At 52.1% G+C, this 19,511-nt stretch overlaps 1 long non-coding RNA gene and 1 pseudogene across 2 annotated transcripts, besides 1 other annotated feature; one reads left to right on the forward strand and one right to left on the reverse strand.

Moving 5' to 3' along the window:
• Positions 1,464–5,242, forward strand: CICP23 (capicua transcriptional repressor pseudogene 23; annotated as a pseudogene).
• Positions 5,080–5,583: an enhancer, noted in NCBI's record as "H3K27ac-H3K4me1 hESC enhancer chr11:126888-127391 (GRCh37/hg19 assembly coordinates)". NCBI's record gives its function as "activates a minimal SCP1, AML or CMV promoter by ChIP-STARR-seq in primed H9 embryonic stem cells {active_cell/tissue: H9 hESC(primed)}" and the evidence as "EXISTENCE:reporter gene assay evidence [ECO:0000049][PMID:30033119]".
• Positions 5,326–17,309, reverse strand: LINC01001 (long intergenic non-protein coding RNA 1001). Of its 2 annotated transcripts, NR_146389.1 has the most exons (7): positions 17,148–17,309; positions 16,239–16,303; positions 13,082–13,139; positions 12,756–12,988; positions 11,780–11,970; positions 9,659–9,716; positions 5,326–9,565 (listed from the first exon to the last, which is right to left on the reverse strand). It is a non-coding gene; the product is annotated as a long intergenic non-protein coding RNA 1001 (long non-coding RNA). The 2 variants fall into 2 exon arrangements; NR_028326.2 differs by lacking the exons at positions 11,780–11,970; positions 12,756–12,988; positions 13,082–13,139; positions 16,239–16,303; positions 17,148–17,309 and adding an exon at positions 9,944–10,045.
• Positions 17,310–19,511: the final 2,202 nt, after the last annotated feature.

The following is a 19,511-nucleotide window of genomic DNA, read 5'->3' on the forward strand; positions in this document are numbered from 1 at the left end:
TTTGCCATGATGGCCAGGCCGGTCTCGAACTCCTGACCTCAGGTGATCCTCCCGCTTTGGCCTCCCAAAGACTTTTTTTTTTTTTTTTAATATAGAGACAAGTTCTCAGTACATTGCCCAGGCTGGTCTCAAACTCCTGAGCTCAAGTGATCCTCCCACCTCAGCTTCCCAAAGTGCTGGGACTGACTGGATGCAGTGGCTCATGCTTGTAAACTCAGCACTTTGGGAGGCCAAGGTGGGAGGATCGCTTGAGCCCAGGAGTTCAAGACCAGACTGGGTGATATAACACAATAGTCAACTTCAACAGGAGAGAGAATCTGTAAACTTGAATATAGATCTTCCGAAATTATCCAGTCAGAGGACAGAGAAAAAAAGAATAAAAGAGAGAAAAGAAGGCTGGGTGTGGTGGCTCAAGCCTGTAATCCCAACACTTTGGGAGGCCGAGGCAGGCAGATTAAGAGGTCAGGAGTTCAAGACCAGCCTGTCCAACATGACAAAGCCCCATCTCTACTAAAAATACAAAAATTAGCCGGGTGTGGTGGCACACACCTGTAGTCCCAGCTACTTGGGAGGCTGAGGCAGGAGAATCGCTTGAACCCAGGAGGCGGAGGTTGGAGTGCAATGTGAGCCGAGACCACACATTACACTCCAGCCTGGGTGACAGAGCATGACTCTGTCTCAAAAAGAAAAAAAAAAGAGACAGAGAAAAGAAAGCCAACAAGACACCATTAAGCAAACCATTGTCAGGTTATGGGAGTTTGAGAAGGAAAGTAGAGAAAGGAGAATAAAGCTTATTTAAAGAATGGCTGACAACTGCCTAAATCATGGGAAAGATTTAGACATCTAAATCCATGAAGCTTAAAGATTCCTAAAGAGGTTCAAACCAAATAGATACTCACCAAGTCACAATATAATCAAATAATCAGAAGTTAAAGAAACTTTGCAGGTCAGGACAGAATCGAATAATACATTCAAAGTGCTGAAAGAAAAAAACTGCCAGCAACTAATACTATGTCTGACAAAGCTGTCCTTCAGAAAGGAAAAAGAAATAACATGTTTCCTCGACAAACAAAGCTGAGGGCATTCAGGACCACTAGGTCTACCTTAAAAAAATGCTTAACGGAGTTTTTCAAGTAAAAATGAATGAAGTTGGGAGCGGTGGCTCATGCCTGTAATCCCATTTTGGGAGGCTGAGGTGGGTGGATCACCTGAGGTCGGGAGGTCAAGACCAGCCTGGCCAACATGGCAAAACCCCACCTCCAGTAAAAATACAAAAAATTAGCCAGGTATGAAGGCCACTGATATCGTGCCACTGCACTCCAGCCTGGGTGACAAGAGTCAAACTACATTTCAAAAACAAAAAACAAAACAAACAAAAAAAACAAAACTTGAGGCCTGGCCTTCTGCTCCTCTCCAACCTCCCCTTCTCTGGGCCCAAGCCACCTTGGCTGAGGAGGGGGTGAGGAGGTGTGAGCCCCTGCCAGGAACCCCCCGCCCGGACCAAGTGCTCGGCCCCCAGGCCTGCGTTCAGTGAGGCCTCCCGTGGCGTCAGCATGTTCGTGTGGAGGAATGTGGAAGGTCACTCTGCGGCCGTGTTCTCCTGGTACTCCATCGCCTTCCTGACCCCTCCCTGCAGCCACACGAGGCCCAGCAACCTGCCAGTCACTCAGTGGCCTCCAACCAGAGAAAACAACCTGCCAAGTTGGCAGCTGTTGCTCATGAGCGTCCACCAGGTGGGACAGGGAGTGTTGACCCTGGGCGGCCCCCTGGAGCCACCTGCCCTGAAAGCCCAGGGCCCGCAACCCCACACACTTTGGGGGTGGTGGAACCTGGTAAAACCTCACCTCCCACCATGGAGGAGGAGCCCTGGGCCCCTCAGGGGAGTCCCTGCTGGACAGTGAGACAGAGAATGACCATGATGATGCTTTCCTCTCCATCATGTCTCCTGACACCCAGTTGCCTCTACCACTCAGATGATGTCAGGCCCAGTCCCTCAGTGCCCTGCGCAAGGAACAGGACTCATCTTCTGAGAAGGATGGACGCAGCCCCAACAAATCAGACAAGTACCACATCCGGTGGCCCATGAGTGGCGCTCATGATCTTCAGCAGGCGGCACCAGGCCCTGGCGGGGCGCACCAGGGTCACCCCAACCAGGATAACCGGACCGTCAGCCAGATGCTGAGCGAGCGGTGGTACACCCTGGGGCCCAATGAGATGCAGAAATACAACCTGGCCTTCCAGGTGAAGGTGGCCCACTTGCAACAAGGACCGAAAGAAGTCCAGCTCAGAGGCCAAGCCCACAAGCCAGGGGCTAGCAGGAGTGTAACAAGGGCTCGTGGGAGCGGAGCATATCAGAGACGGGCACTGCCACTGCCCCTGGGGCGTCCTCTGAACTCCTGTCAGTTGCAGCCCAAACACTCCAGAGCTCGGATGCCAAGGAGCAGCTTCTGTGGGGCAGAACGGCTGCACACAGTCAGGGAACCTGGCTCAGCCTGGCCCAAGCCTTCTCCCACAGCGGGGTACACAGCCTGGACGGCAGGGAAATAGACCGTCAGGCACTACGGGAACTGACACAGGTGGTGTCTGGCACTGCATCATACTCTGGCCCAAAGCCTTCTACTCAGCATGGAGCTCCAGGCCACTTTGCAGCCCCTGGTGAGGGAGGTGACCCGTGGGCAGCCCTGCTGCCGCCCACGTGAGCTGCTCATTCCCAGCACATGGCCAGCGAGGTCATAGCGAGTGACGAAGAGCACACGGTCATCCATGAGGAGGAGGGGGTGATGATGTCATTGCTGATGATGGCTTTAGCACCACCGACACCGATCTCAAGTTCAAGGAGTGGGTGACCGACTGAGAGTGGGGACAGCTCTGGGGAGGAGCCAGAGGGCAACAAGGGCTTTGGTGGGAAGGTATTTGCACCTGTCATTCCTTCCTCCTTTACTCCTGCCGCCCCTTGCTGGATCCTGAGCCCCCAGGGTCCCCCGATCCACCTGCAGCTTTTGGCAGTCTATGGTCACACCCTGTCCTCCTCCTACACATACTCGGATGCTTCCTCCTCAACCTTGGCACCCACCTCCTTCTTACTGGGCCCAGGAGCCTTCAAAGCCCAGGAGTCTGGTCAACGCAGCAGAGCGGGCCCCCTACGGCCCCAACCCCTGGGGATGGGGGCCCAGGGACGCCTTCCAAGGTGGCCTGTTTCCTCCCAATGGATCCTGCCACCTTCTGGTGCAAGAGACCTGAAAGTGTGGGCGACCTGGAGCTACCAGGCTCCTCAGTCATCAGGGTCCCTCCCAACACTAAGGCTTTCCTAGGCAGGAGCTGGGCTGAGCCACCCGGGGGGCAGAGCCTGAAGAGAAACTGACTGGGCTTTCGGGGTCGGGGCAGAGGGAACCCCACGGACATGGATCCCACACTGGAGGACCCCACCGCGCCCAAATGCAAGATGAGAAGATGCTCCAGCTGCAGTCCAAAGCCCAACACCCCCAAGTGTGCCATGTGTGATGGGGACAGCTTCCCCTTTGCCTATACAGGTGGAGAAGCCGAGGACAGGCTCAGGGAACCGGAGACCGAGAAGGCGCTGTCCTCTTCACTGCACGTACCCTGGACCAGTGCCGGCCCTGATCATGCAGCTCTTCCAGGCCCACTGCTTCTTCCTGTCCACTAGGCCACAGCCGCCCTCCAGGCCCACTATGCACACATCCTCCCCTCCAAGGTTTGTTCTGCCCCTGCCCTGACTCCCAGCCCTGTGGGGGTCCTGACCGCACCTCACCTGGCTCAGACTCTTGACGCTGCCCTGGCTGCCCCACCACTGCTTCTGCCCGAGAGTCACGTGAAGCTGAGAGTAGGGGCAGGGGCAGCAGTGGTGCCAGTTGGGGGGCGGTCCAGTGGGAGGAGCCTCAGCCTCGCAGGCTGCTCCGTGGGACTGATGACTGCATGATCTTCTGGGCACCTCACGGATCTTCAACTGCAGGTGAAACGGATGCTGGTGGTGGGTGCAGGGCCGCTGGGAGCTGCTGCATGGTTCCCAGAGGCTGGACTGAGGCAGGTGCCAACTGAAGCTGCTGGGGCAGCATGGGCAGGATGTTCTGCACACAAACCTTGGAGAAGAAGATGTGTGCATAGCGGGTCCACTGCTGCTGCCCCTGCCCTGACTCCCAGCCCTGCCTGACCCCACCTCAACCTGCTCAGGCTCTGGCACAACCCTGGCTGCCCTGCCACTGCCTCTGCCCCAGAGTTGGGGCCTTGACAGCCTGGTTGGAAGGGGACACCCCAGCCCTGCCTCAACACCTGGGGGTCTCCATAACTACCACAGGCAGGTGGGCAACCCCAAAGATCCCAGGACTCACAGTACCCCCTGAGAACATGGACAGTATGTGGGGGTAGCAATGGAGGGCAGGATGGTTATCTTCTCCCAGGTGAAGCCATTTAATCCTTTCAGTTTGGAACGGAGTAAGGCCTTCCTCTTTTTTTTTTTTTTTTTTTTTTTTTTTTTTTTTTTTTGAGACCGAGTCTTGCTCTGTTGCCCAGGCTGGAGTGCAGTGGTGCGATCTTGGCTCACTGCAACCTCTTCCCGCCGGGTTCACGCCATTCTCCTGCCTCAGCCTTCCGGGTAGCTAGGATTACAGGTGGACGCTACCACGTCCGGCTAATTTTTGTATTTTTAGTACAGACGGGGCTTCATCATCTTGGCCAGGCTGATTTCGATCTCCTGACATCGTGATCTGCCTGCCTCCCCCTCCCAAAGTGCTGGGATTACAGGCGTGAGCCACCACGCCTGGCCAAGGCCTGCTCCTCTTATCTATACCCCCTACCCCTGCAGCTGTGCCGGGGGAAAGCTGGGCAGTTTCCCTCCTCCGAGCCCCTGTACATACCATGAATTGTGGGACCTTCAGAGCTTTTCACTTTTCGGAAAATAGCTCCTGCTGGGGCTACAAGATGGAGTGTGAAGAGGGCCTTGGGCCACAGGGAGGCGCCTGTGGACTAGGGGGAGTTCATGCACCCCTTCTTTCCCCAGAGGGGCTGGACTCAGGTGAGTATGGGGGTGGGGGCTCCTGCACTTCGACACAGGCAGCGGGAGGGTTTTCTCCCCATTCCCTCTGCACTCCCAACTTGAGCTATACTTTTTAAGAAAGTGATTCACCCTGCCTTTGCCCCCTTCCCCAGAACAGAACACGTTGATCGTGGGCGATATTTTTCATTGTGCCAAAAAGTTGCCATGACCGTCATTAAACCTGTTTAACACCAAATAATAAGGAAAATAAAATAAAAAATTCGGGCTTGGCGCAGAAACTCACTCCAAATAAATTACCTACCAAAACATTTACATAATGGTGGAAATATTCCAAAATTCAATATTTTGGGATTTATACACAAAAGATAAACAAATTAGAGGCCAAGAGGCTGCCGGAAGGGAAAAACGGGGCCTGGAATGGCCGACGTGAGGAATGAGCTGGGCCTAAAGAGGCCACTGGCAGGCAGGAGCTGGACCTGCCGAAGTGGCCGAAAGGCAGGAGCTTTGGACTGGGGAGGCCGCAGTGAGGCGAGAGCTAGCTGGGCGTGGAGAGTCCGCTGTGAGGCCGAGGCCGAGGCCGGGCCCGTGCAGGCCTTCGAGAGGCAGGAGGCCGGGCCTGCAAAGGCCGACTGGAGATCAAGTTCTGCGCCTGAAGAGGCTGCCAAAACTCAAAAGCGGGGCCTGGGAAGGCCGCCGAGAGCCATGAGCTGGGCTGGGCCGAAAGAGGCCACTGGGAGGCAGGAGGAGCTGGGCCTGGAGAGGCTGACTCGAGGAAGTTTTGCACCTGGAGAGGCCGTCGAGAGGACGGAGCTGGGCCCAGGGAGGCCGACTTGCTGCTCTTCCAGGCCCACTTCCAGGCCGACTTGAGGACGACTTGGGCCTGCAGAGGCCGCCGGGAGGCTGGAGCTAAGCCTGGAGAGACTGACTTCGGGACGATTTGGGCCTGCGGAGGCCGCCGGGAGGCCCAAGCTGGGCCTAGAGGAGCCCACCGACCGGAGGCCATTTGGGGCCTGCAGATGTCATCGGAGGGCCAGGAGCTGAGCCTGGAGAGGCCACCGCGAGGCCTGAGCTGGGCCTGGGGAGCTTGGCTTAGGGAAGTTGTGGGCCTACCAGGGCCGCTGGGAGCTGGGCAGGAGCTGAGTCCAAAGACGTTGTTGGGACCTGGAGTCGGGCCAGAGTCCGGCCTGGAGATGCAGCCGGGAGGAAGAGCTGGGCCCGGAGGGGGCGCCGGGAGGCTGCAAGTGGGTCTGAGAGGCCAACTTGAGGAGGCCTGGCCTCTGCCTCCCGCATTGCCCAGCTGTTCCTCCTGGCTGCATCTCCCACCTCCCAGCAAACAAGCTCTTTTGGCTCAGCTCCCGCCTGCGTTTGTAGACCCCAAAGTTTCTGCAACCAAGCTCTTCAGACCCACATCCCTTCTCCCAGTGACTGAACAGTCCCAGCTCCGGCTGGAGAAGGGCGTCTGCAGACCCCGCTGTTGCCTCCCAGGGGAGTCTCCAGGCCCAGCTCTCGCCCCACCGCGACCTCCCAGGCCCAAGTCCCTGCCTACCTCCCAGCAGCCCGAGTGCGATCCTGTTCCTCCCTCACGGTGGCCTGTTGAGGCAGGGGGTCACGCTGACCTCTCTCAGCGTGGGAGGGGCCGGGGTGAGGCAAGGGGCTCACGCTGACCTCTCTCCGCGTGGGAGGGGCTGGTGTGAGGCAAGGGCTCAGGCTGACCTCTCTCAGCGTGGGAGGGGCCGGTGTGAGGCAAGGGGCTCACGCTGACCTCTGTCCGCGTGGGAGGGGCCGGTGTGAGACAAGGGGCTCACACTGACCTCTCTCAGCGTGGGAGGGGCCGGTGTGAGGCAAGGGCTCACACTGACCTCTCTCAGCATGGGAGGGGCCGGTGTGAGACAAGGGGCTCGGGCTGACCTCTCTCAGCGTGGGAGGGGCCGGTGTGAGGCAAGGGGCTCACGCTGACCTCTGTCCGCGTGGGAGGGGCCGGTGTGAGGCAAGGGCTCACACTGACCTCTCTCAGCGTGGGAGGGGCCGGTGTGAGGCAAGGGGCTCACGCTGACCTCTGTCCGCGTGGGAGGGGCCGGGGTGAGGCAAGGGCTCACACTGACCTCTCTCAGCGTGGGAGGAGCCAGTGTGAGGCAGGGGCTCACGCCTCTGGGCAGGGTGCCAGAGGCATGAGTTGGGCATCAACAGGCCACCGTGAGGGAGGAGCTGGGCCGCACGCGGGCTGCTGGGAGGCAGGCAGGGACTTGGCCCCGAGAGGCCGCCGTGGGGGCAAGAGCTGGGCCTGGAGAGGCCCCTGGGAGGCAAGGGCGGGGCCTGCAGAGGCTGTTCTCCAACCAGTGCTAGAACTGTACAGGCCACCAGGAGGCAGGAGGTGGGCCCTCAGAGCTTGGCTGGAGAAAGTTCGGGGCCTACAAAGGCGGTTGGGAGCTGGGCAGGAGTTGAGCCAAAAGAGCTTGCTTACTTGCTGGGAGGCAGGGCCGGGAGAGCCCGACTTCAGGACAACTTGGGCCTGCGGCAGTCGCCGGGAGGCCCAACCTTGGCGTGGAGGAGCCCACCGACCGGAGACCATTTGGGGCCTGGAGATGCCATCGGAGGGCAGGAGCTCATCCTGGAGAGGCCACCGTGAGGCCTGACCTGGGCCTGGGGAGCTTGGCTTGAGGAAGCTGTGGGCCGACCAAGGCCGCCAGGAGATGGGTAGGCACTGAGTCCAAAGAGGTTGTTGAGAGGCAGGAATCGGGCCTGGAGACCCAACCAGGAAGAAGAGCTGGGCCCGGAGAGAATGCACGGAGGGTGCAAGTGGGTCTGGAGAGGCCGACTTGAGGAGGTTCTGGGCCCGGAGAGGCCGCCGGAAGGGAAAAACTGGGCCTGGAAAGGCCGTTGTCAGGAATGAGCCCCATGGGCCTGAAGAGGCCACTGGCAGGCGGGAGCTGGGCCTGCCGAAGCGGCCGAGAGGCAGGAGCTTTGGACTCGGGAGGCCGCAGTGAAGCAACAGCTAGCTGGGCGTGGAGAGTCCGCTGTGAGGCAGAGGCTGGGCCTGTGCAGGCCTTCGGGAGGCAGGAGGCTGGGCCTTGTCGAGGCCTGCAGAGGCCACCGAAAGTCAAAAGCGGGGCTTGGGAAGGCCGCCGGGAGGCATGAGCTGGGCTGGGCCGAAAGAGGCCACTGGGAGGCAGGAGGAGCTGGGCCTGGAGAGGCTGCCAAAAGGCAGGAGCTTCGCCTGAGGATGCCACAGTGAGACACCATCTGGGTCTGGAGGGTCCACTGTGAGGCAGAGGCTGACCTGTAGAGTCCGACAGTAGACAGAAGTTGGGCAAAAGCCTGATTTGAGGAAGTTTTGGGCTTCAAGAGTCAGCCACGAGGCAGGCACTAGGCCTGGAAATGGCCTCACAGTCATGAGTTGGGCCTAAATGGGCCACTGTGAGGGAGGAGCTGTGCCTGTTGAGGCTGCTGGCAGGCAGGCAGAAATTTGGCCTGGGGCAGCTGCCATGAGGCAAGAGCTGGGCCTGGAAAAAGCCCCTGGGAGGCAAGAGCAGGGCCTGCAGAGGCTGTTCTCAAGTCAAAGCTGGGCCTGTTGATGCCACCGGGAAGCAGAAGGTGGGCCTGGAGAGTTTGACTTGAGGAAGTTTTGGGCCTACATTGGCCGCCATGAGCTGGACAGGAACTGGGCCAAAAAAGGCTGTTGTGAGGCAGCAGTTGTGCCTGTAGACCCAGCCAAGAGGAAGAGGTGGGTCTGGAGAAGCCCCCATGAGGCAGAGGTTGGGCCTGTAGACGCTGACAGGAGGCAGGAGCTGGGCCTGGACAGGTCAACTTGAGGAGATTTTGGGCCTTCATAGGCCACCAGGAGGCAGTAGTTGGGACTAGAGAGTCTGACTTGAGTAAGTTTTGGGCCCGGAGATGACGTCCTGGGACAGGAGTTGGGCGTGGAGAGGCCACCGTGAGGCATAAGCTGGATGTAGAGAGGCCAGTGTGAGGCAAGACCTGGGCCTGTCTAGGCTGCTGGGAGACAGGCAGGAATCTGGCCAGGGAAGGTTGCCATGAGACAAAAGTTGGGCCTGGAAAGGCCCTTGTGAAGCATGAGCTTGGCCTAAAGAGGCCACTGGGTGGCAGGAGCTGGGTGTGTAGAAGCTGCTGAAAGGTTGGGAGCTTGGCTTGGGGGGTCCACAGTGAGGTAGATGCTGGGCGTGAAGAATCTGCTGTGAGGCAGACGTTGGGACTGTAGAGGCTGACGGGAGGCAGAGGCTGGGCCTGGAGGGGCCACCAAGATGCAGGAGCTGGGCCTGGAGAGGCTGCAAAGAAGCATGACCTGGGCCTGGTGAGGTCGACTTGAGAAAGTTCAGGGCCTGGAGAGAAGGCTGGGAGGCAGGAGCTGGGTCTAAAGAGGCCATTGTAACGATGGAGCTGTGCCTGTGGAGGCTGTTGTGAGGCAGTAGCCTCATCTGTGGAGGCTGCCGTGACGTAGGGTATGGGCCTAAATAGGCCATTGTGAGTCATGATCTTGGTCTGTAGAGGCTGACTGGAGAAAGTTCTGGGCCTGGAGAGGCTGCCGGGAGGTAGGAGCTGGGCCAAAAGATGTAAGCACATTTGCATTTATTAGGCACTTTATTTCCATTATTACACTGTAATATATAATAAAATAATCATAGAACTCACCATAATGTAGAATCAGTGGGCGTGTTAAGCTTGTTTTCCTGCAACTGGATGGTCCCACCTGAGCGTGATGGGAGAAAGTAACAGATCAATAGGTATTAGATTCTCATAAGGACGGCGCAACCTTGATCCCTCACATGCACGGTTCACAACAGGGTGCGTTCTCCTATGAGAATCTAACGCTGCTGCTCATCTGAGAAGGTGGAGCTCAGGCGGGAATGTGAGCAAAGGGGAGTGGCTGTAAATACAGACGAAGCTTCCCTCACTCCCTCACTCGACACCGCTCACCTCCTGCTGTGTGGCTCCTTGCGGCTCCATGGCTCAGGGGTTGGGGACCCCTGCTCAAGTGCATCCAAAGCGACCCTTCCCACACCAGTCTTCACAGTGGTCAAGGGCAGCAACCACTTAGCTCCCAAGGCATGTGCCTCAGCTGGCATTTCGTCACAATCAACAGTAAGTGGTAGCTTGAGTCACTGTGAGGTCACCTACTGGAAATCACCAGCATCCCATTTCCCACTGGCAAAGAGCTCAGCGCTGCCCCCTGGGAAACCAAACCTATGCCCAAATCCCATCTGTGTGGGTGTATCTCCTGGGACCCTTCCTAACATATTAGTCAGAGTCCAATCAGGAAGCATAAACCACTCAAAAGTTTAAAGTGGTAAAATTTAATACAGAGAATTATTCATTATAACAGGTGAACAGCATAATGAGAGATTGGCTAGCACAAAGTAAAGAGAACTCTAGAGAATATAGGACTAGCCCAGGCCAGGCATGGTGGCTCAGGCCTGAAATTCCAGCAATTTGAGAAGCTAATGCAGGAGGATTGCTTAAGGCCAGGAGCTAGAGACCGGTCTGGACAACAGAGTGAGACCCTGTCTCTATCCAAAAGAAGAAAAAAGTTAGCTGGTGGTGGTAGTGCACACTTGCAGTCCCAGCTACTCGGAATGCGGAAGTTTGAGCCTGGGAGGTCAAGGCTGCAGTGAGGCATGATTATGCCACTACAGTCCAGCCTGGTGACAGAGCAAGACCCTGTCTCAAAGAACAAAACAACAACAACCATTTACAGACAGAAAAGAAATAGAGCTAATAAGCTGAGGAAAGATGTTGAAATGTGACAAGTAAAGTAACATGAGGTCTTTTGTCTATTTAAAATAATCAAACAAAAAATGACTTACTAAATTATAATACCCTGTGCTGGCAAAGGTGCAGTGAAATGGGCACTTTCTTATACTATGAGAGGTGGTTAAATTGTGTATAAGCCTTCCCGGGTAAAGCCTGTCAATTTTTTAAAATAATGGAGACAGGGTCTCACCATACTGCCATACTGCCTCCTCCAACTCTTGGCCTCAAGCAATCCTCCTCTCTTAGCCTCCCAAAGTGCTAAGATTATAGCTGGGAGGCACCCAAAACCCTGTCAATTTACATCAAGGGTAAGGAGAATGTCCATTCACCATGACTCACAGTAATCTTACTTCTGGGGAGACAATTCAGTCTAAACAAAAGGTCATCTGTACACACACAGTAAAAATCTGGGAGTAACTGAAGACAGAGTTGGTAAGTGAAATAAGAAACAGTTATAAGAAATTAAACTATGGTATCAATAGGCACCTGGTACAAAAGGTCAGTTGATGTTGGCTGCTACTTTTTTGTTGTTTTGAGACAGGGTCTCACTCTGTCACCCAGGCTGGAGTGCAGAGGCCTGATCATGACTCACTGCAGTCTCAGCCTCCCTGGGCTCAAGTGATCCTCCCACCTCAGCCTCCCAAGTAGCTGGGACTACAGGAACATGCCACCACACTAGGCTAATTCATGTATTTTTCTGTAGGGATGGTGACTCCCCCTTTGTTTCCAAGGCCTATCGCAAACTCTTGGCCTCGAGCCATCCTCCTGCCTCAGCCTCCCAAAGTGTTGCGATTACCAGTGTGAGCCACCACACCTGGCCAGCTGCTACTTTTATCAATATTATTCTTATTCCACTCAATTAAAAATTATTATTTTCAAGGCTATGCAACAGTATGTATCCTACAGCGTAATTGTAAAAACATATACAGTCGTCGTCCCTCAGTATACAGAATTAGTTCCAGCCCCCCATCTCTGCATATACCAAAATCCATGCTTACTCACGTTTCGCTGTCACCCCTCTGGAATCCACGTATACGAAAATTCCAAATATTAGTTGGGCATAGTGGCAAGCACCTGTAGTCTCAGCCACGTGGGAGGTTGAGGTGGGAGGATCGCTTCAGCCTGGAAGGTTGAGGCTGCAGTCAGCTGCGATAGCACTACTACACTCCAGCCTTGGACAACAGAGGGAGACCCTGTCTCAGAACAAAAAAAAATAAAAAATAAAAAATAAAACAGGTTAGAAACTGTGATGAGGTCTGCTGGGCAAAATTCCATATAAGCAAAGTATAAATTAATAAAGCAAATCGTGATAAATTAGTACGATTGACTTTCTGGAGTTTCTGACAATAAAAGTAAGGAAAATGCAGAACACAAAGACAGAGAGTAAAAAGAGAAATTAGGAAAGCATTCTACATGTTGAATAGGAAGACACTGGCCATGTTCGTGCAGCGGCAGTATGTCGTGACATGACATACCTTGGAGAGAAGTTAACAGATGAGGAAGTTGATAAAAATCATCAGAGAAGCAAAATACTGGTAGGGACACTCAAGTAAACCATGAAATTTCCATAACTTATGTCAGCAAAGTGGGAATATTGTACAGTGTGTGTTGAAGTTCCTATACAACATTGTTTATCTGCCTTTTGTTTGTTTGTAAGGAATGTACATACTAAAAGTTCTTCTTGCTGTCAAAAGAATATGTGTGAATAAGTCATTTTAACTTATTCTTCTGTTTTTCTTTTATCTTCCTGCCATCATCCCACAGCCTTACTTTAGAAATTTTTTTTTTAGAAAATTGAACAAGTGCTCCTTGTGGTGGCACATGCCTCGAGGATGGGAGGCAGGGGTGGAAGGGTCACTTGAGGCCATTAGTTTGACACCAGCCTGGCCAACAAAGTGAGACCCCGTGTCTACAAAACAATTTAAAAATTAGCCAAGTATCATCATGTATACCTACAGTCCCAGCTACCTGAACTTACTGAGAATGTTCAGGGCCTGGAGAGAAGGCTGGGAGGCAGGAGCTGGGTCTAAAGAGGCCATTGTAACGATGGAGCTGTGCCTGTGGAGGCTGTTGTGAGGCAGTAGCCTCATCTGCGGAGGCTGCCGTGACGTAGGGTATGGGCCTAAATAGGCCATTGTGAGTCATGAGCTTGGTCTGTAGAGGCTGACTGGAGAAAGTTCTGGGCCTGGAGAGGCTGCCGGGAGGTAGGAGCTGGGCCAAAAGATGTAAGCACATTTGCATTTATTAGGCACTTTATTTCCATTATTACACTGTGATATATAATAAAATAATTATAGAACTCACCATAATGTAGAATCAGTGGGCGTGTTAAGCTTGTTTTCCTGCAACTGGATGTTCCCACCTGAGCGTGATGGGAGAAAGTGACAGATCAATAGGTATTAGACTCTCATAAGGACAGCGCAACCTAGATCCCTCACATGCACGGTTCACAACAGGGTGCGTTCTCCTATGAGCATCTAATGCTGCTGCTCATCTGAGAAGGTGGAGCTCAGGCGGGAATGTGAGCAAAGGGGAGTGGCTGTAAATACAGACGAAGCTTCCCTCACTCCCTCACTCGACACCACTCACCTCCTGCTGTGTGGCTCCTTGCGGCTCCATGGCTCAGGGGTTGGGGACCCCTGCTCAAGTGCATCCAAAACGACCCTTCCCACACCAGTCTTCACAGTGGTCAAGGGCAGCAACCACTTAGCTCCCAAGGCATGTGCCTCAGCTGGCATTTCGTCACAATCAACAGTAAGTGGTAGCTTGAGTCACTGTGAGGTCACCTACTGGAAATCACCAGCATCCCATTTCCCACTGGCAAAGAGCTCAGCACTGCCCCCTGGGAAACCAAACCTATGCCCAAATCCCATCTGTGTGGGTCTACCTCCTGGGACCCTTCCTAACATATAACCTTCATAACATACTTGAGAGGCTGAGGTGAGACAATCGATTTAGCCCAGGAGTTTGAGATCAGCCTGGACGACATAACTAAATCTCATCTCTACAAGGACGAGGTGGGAGGATAACTTGAGCCCAGGAATTTGTGGCCAGCCTGGGCAACAAAAGAAGACCCCATCTGGCCAACATGGCCAACCTGGCCACCACGGTGAAACTCTGACTCTACAAAAATGATCTGGGCATGGGTGACATGCATGTGTAGTCCTAGCTACTTGGGAGGTTGAGATGGGAGGATTGCTTGATCTCAGAAGGCCAAAGCTATAGTGAGCTATGATCACATCACTGCACTCCAGCCTGGATGGCACAGGGAGATTCTGTCTCAAAAAAAAGAAAAGAAATATATATTTAATCTCTGTCCCTGGTTCCTGGCACAGAGCTTCTAAAGCTCTTACAAAGACCTCAGTGATAGATGTGACAGGAGCATCTTTTGTTTTAATATTTGGTCTTGGTCCCAGGTTTCTAACACAAGAGCCTCTAAGAACTTTGGGATCTCCAGCATGGTAAGAATGCATTTGGGGATGTTGTTGAGATGACTGGGTGACTGCAAGCTCCTAAATTTCTTCAAGAGGAGGGCTGATTACCATGCAACCACATGGTAAGAGGCTTGGAACTTTCAGCCTCATGCACTGAACTCCAGGGGGAAGAGGGGCTGGAGACTGACTTAATCACCAACAGCCAAAGGTTTTATCAATCATGCTTGCATAATAAAGCCTCCATAAACACCCTGAAAGGGGTTTGCAGAGCTTTCAGGGTTGCTGGACACAGGAGATGCTGGGAGGGTCGCATGTTCAACAGAGGGCATGGGAGCTCTGTGCCCCTCCGAACTTAACTTGCCCTGGGTATCTTTCTTTTTTTTGAGACAGGATCAGGCTCTTTTGTCCAAGCTGGAGTGCAGTGGCACAATCTCAGCTTACTGTAACCTAAGCCTCCCCAGTCCCCAGCTCAAGGTATCCTCTCATCTCAGCTTCCCTAGTAGTTGGAACTCTAGGTGCACAACACCACACCAGTTATTATTATTATTTTTTAATTTTTTATAGAGACAGGTTTTCACCATGTTGCCCAGGCTGGTCTCAAACTCCTGAGTTTAAGCGATCCTCCCACCTTGGCCTCCCAAAGTGCTGAGATTACAGGCATGAGCCACTGCATCCAGCATGCACGTCTCTTTCATTGACTGTTTCTGAGATGTATCCTTCACAATGAACCAGTAATAGGAAATGAACTGGCCAGATGTGGTGGCTCACATCTGTAATCCCAGCACTTTCAGAGGCTGAGGTGGGAGGATCACTTGAGACCAGGAATTTGTGGCCAGCCTGGCCAACACAACAAGACCCCATCTATACAAAAAATAAAAGAAACTAGCCAGATGTGGTGGTGCAGGCATGTAGTCTCAGCTACTAGGGAGGCTGAGGTGGGAGAACCACTGGAACCCAGACAATCAAGGCTGCAATGAGCTATGACTGCACCATTGCACACCAGCCTGGGCAACAAAATAAGACCCTCTCTCTCAGAAAAAAAGAAAATAAACTGTTTTTCTGAGTTCCGTAAACTGTTCTAGCAAATTATTAAACCCAAGAAGACAGTTACGGGAACGCCCGATTGGTAACAGGTTGGTCAAAAGTATGGTGACAACTTAGGACTTGCCATTGTCATCTGAAGTGAGGATGGCCTCGTGGGACTGAGCCCCTAACTTGTGGGGTCTGTGCTAACTCCAGGTAGTGTCAGAATAAAGTCATGGGATACCCAGTTAATATCCAGAGCACTGAAGAATCTGGTGTAGAAACTCCATACATACATTCAGTCGGAAGTGTGTGAGTAGAGACAAACATGGGCTTTTCTGTCACCTACCTGCTTAACTGCATAGGAGAGGCAATATGTGGTGTTCATGAACAAAGCAAACATTAAAGTCAGACCAGACCCAACATTTGACTCAGTCTTAATATCCAGGTGAGCCTGCGCAAATCATTCATTATTCCTAAGGTTTTCATCACTCCATTCATAAAATGGGGATAACTGTGGCACCTACATGTGATTCTGTGAGAATTAACGAAATATTATGCTTGGGGTTATTGTGATCATTATACCTGTTCCAAACTATTTGACAAGGACAGTGATGGATGAAGACATCAAAAAATCAGAAACTGCAATGAGGTCTCTCAGGCAAAATTCCATACAAGCAAATTACTGTGTCTACAAAGCATTCCTGCCACACTTAATTCACCATTCCCTGAACAAAATATGCCATCTTCGTTGTTCAGGTCTGTACAGTGCTGGTTTCCCTTCCCGGGCAGTTTGCGCTATCCCATCCCGGCCCATTCCCCATCCCTCCACCTCCCCCTTCCCTCCCAACTCTCATACAACTCTTCCTCATCTTTCAGGACTTGGCTTCAATGTCACCTTAACTGGAAGCTTCTCTCACTCTCCAGAAGAGCTTCCCATTGCACCTGATGCATGGGAAACATAATTTGATCATTTTTAAGTTACAGTCCAAATCTTTTTGTACCTGAATAACATGTTGCCCAGTCAGTCTCTCTTCCTGGATTCACAAGTCTTTCATGGTAGATCCAGCTGGAAGTGACAAAAAGACATCTTTTGACATAAAGGGATGACACAGACAGACATAAATTCTTAAATGTCTTAAATGTTATGTGAAAATTAAACAGAATTCAAAGACTTGTGGGGAGCACTTAGGAAGTTACTGGGAATGTCATGAAGGGTTAATTTGTATTTTATTTTATTTTTTGAGACAGTCTCATTCTGTCACCTAGGCTGGAGTGCAGTGGTGCAATCAGGCTCACTGCAGCCTTGACCACCTGGGCTCAAGTAATCTCACTTAATTTTTATTTGGTTTAAGAAAGTCTTGGTTGAGGGTGGTGGCTTATGCCTGTAATCTCAGCACTTTGGGAGGCTGACAGAGGTATATTACTTGAGGCCAGGAGTTTGAGATCAGACTGGGCAATATATTAAGACCCTGCCTCTACCAAAAAACAGAGTGAATGTGTGGAAGACAATTTTTCCACAGACTGGGAATGAGGGAATAATTTCAGGATGATTAAAGTGCATTACATATATTGTGCACTTTATTTCTATTATTACTACATAGTAATATATAATGAAATGATTCTACAACTCACTATAACGTAGACTCAGTGGGATCTCTGAGCTTGTTTTCCTGCAACTAGACTGTCCACCTGGGGTGATGGGAGACAGTAACAGAATATCAGGCATTAGATTCTCATAAGGAGTACACAACCTAGATCCCTCGCATGCACACTTCACAACAGAGTTTGTGCTCCTATGACAATCTAATGCTGCTGCTGATCTGACAGGACATGGAGCTCAGGTGGTCATGCAAGCGATGGGAGGGGCTAGAAATACAGATGAAGTTTCCCTTCACTCGCCTGCTGCTCACCTCCAGCTCTGTGGCCCTGTGGTTGGAGACCGCTGCTCAAGTGCATTTGAAAGGAACCATCCCACGCCATTCTTCAGAGTCATCTTTACTGCTGCAGTGGTCAACTTGTAGCACCCCTAAGCTCGCAGGACATATGCTTCAACTGGCATTTCACAATCAACAGTATGTGGCAGCTTGAGTCATTGTGAGCTCACTTCCTGGAAATCACCAGCATCCCATATCCCATTGCAAGGAGCTCAGCACTGCTCCTTGGATAACCAAACCTATTCCCAAATCCCATCTGTGTGCGTCTATCTCCTGGTACCCTTCCTAGCATCAATTCTGTATTTGTAGGAGTCCAATCAGGAGACACAAACCACTCAAAAGTTTAAACTAGAATGAGCAAGATGGCTCACACCTGTAATCCCAGAACTCTGGGAGGCCAAGGTGGGTGGACTGCTTTGAGCTCAGGAGTTTGAGAACAGTCTGGGAAACATGGCGAAACCTCGTCTCTACAAAAAACACAAAAATCAGCTGGGTGTGGTGGCACTTACCTGTAATCCCAGCTACTCGGGAGGCTGAGGCAGGAGAATTGCTTGAGCCTGGCAGGTGGAGGCTGCAGTGAGCAGAGGTTGTGCCACTGTACTCCAGCCTCGGTGACAGTGTGAGACCCGGTATCAAAAAGAAAAAACGTATATCTATATATATGTAAATTTAATATAAAAAGTATTAATTTTGGCCAGGCAAAATGGCTCATGCCTGTAATCCCAGCACTTTGGGAGGCCAAGGCAGACAGATCACCTGAGGTCAGGAGTTCGAGACCAGCCTGACCAGCACAGAGAAACCCCATCTCTACTAAAAATACAAAATTAGCTGGGCATGGTGGCACATGCCTGTAATCCCAACTACTCGGGAGGCTGAGGCAGGAGAATTGCTTGAACCCAGAAGGTGGAGGTTGTGCTGAGCCGAGATAGCACCATTGCACTCCAGCCTGGGCAACAAGAGTGAAACTCCATCTCAAAAAAAAAAAAAAAGGTATTAATTTTTACAGAGGATCAGCACAATGAGGGACACACTAGCACAAAGTAAAGACAACTCTAGAGAATACGGAACTAGCAGAGGCCAGGCATTGTGGCTCATGCCTGTAATCCCAGCAATTTGGGAAGCCTAGGCAGGAGGATCGCTTGAGGCCAGGAGTTGGAGACCAATCAGTGCTACATAGTGAGACTCTGTGTCTACCAAAAAAAAGAGACATTAGCCAGGTGTGGTGGTGGTGCACACCCGTAGTTCCAGCTACTTGGGAGTCTGGGGTGGGAGAAATCCCTTGAGCCTGGGAAGTCTACACTACAGTGAGCCAAGATTGTGCCACTGCACTCCAGCCTGGGCGACAGAGTGAGACCCTGTCTTAGAAAGAAAAAAGAAAAGAAAGTGTTAATCCCCCTATGGGAATCTCCTCTTCTCCTGCCCTCTCTGGAACCTCACTTGTCAGTTCTTCCTCCCACTTTCCTGTATCTTTAACCTATCCCCCACTTTTAGCTCCTTCCCATCATCATTTAAATTACTCAAACTTCTTCTGTTTTAAAAACCTCTCCCTAAACTCAGGGAGAGGTCTTCTGCACACACATTGAGCCATCTGCTCTTCCTGGTGCCTTCTCTACAGCAGCCTGAGCCATGTCTCTAATCTATGAATCTCATCATGTTACTCCCCCATTTACATCACTTCTCCTTGCCTCAGGGATTAAGTCCAAACTCCTTAACAGCCCCTGCTCTGCCCTGCCTTGCAAGGCAGCCTCACTGCTTGCCCCTCTCCATTTCATCTGCTATGGAGTCCAACTGAGCCTCATCTGCCCCTTGAACGCACACTCTTTCTCCTCTGGGAGTCTCTGAAGTGGGTAATATCCTCTGCTTATAATATGCTTCCCCTTAAACCTCTACTCTCTTCCTAGCTAGCTTTGACTCCTCTGTCACTTGTCCGCTTTGGCATCACCTCCTCATAGAAGACTTCTATGACTCCCGAGATTCTCAGGAGCATGGCAGGTGAAGTGCTCCTCCCATGAATGGATGGAGATTAGGGAGTGTGTGTTATTCATGCTTAATTCACCAGTGCTTAGCTGAGTACCTGGCATAAAATAGTTACTGTGGTGGCCAAAGTAATAACCCCCACCGCCACCAATTGCTCATGTCCTATGTTACACAGCACAATTACATAGGAAGGGGGAATTAAGAGTGCAGATAAAATTAATGTTGCTCATCAGCTGACCTTAAACAAGATTATCCTGGAGTATCTAGGAGAGCCCATGTAATTACAAGCATTCTTTAAAACTGGAAGAGGGAGGCAGAAGGTTAAGAACCAGAGACGGTGGGCACAATGGCTCATGCCTGTAA

Source organism: Homo sapiens, chromosome 11 (assembly GCF_000001405.40).
Source record: "Homo sapiens chromosome 11, GRCh38.p14 Primary Assembly".
NCBI classification, from domain to species: Eukaryota; Metazoa; Chordata; class Mammalia; order Primates; family Hominidae; genus Homo; species Homo sapiens.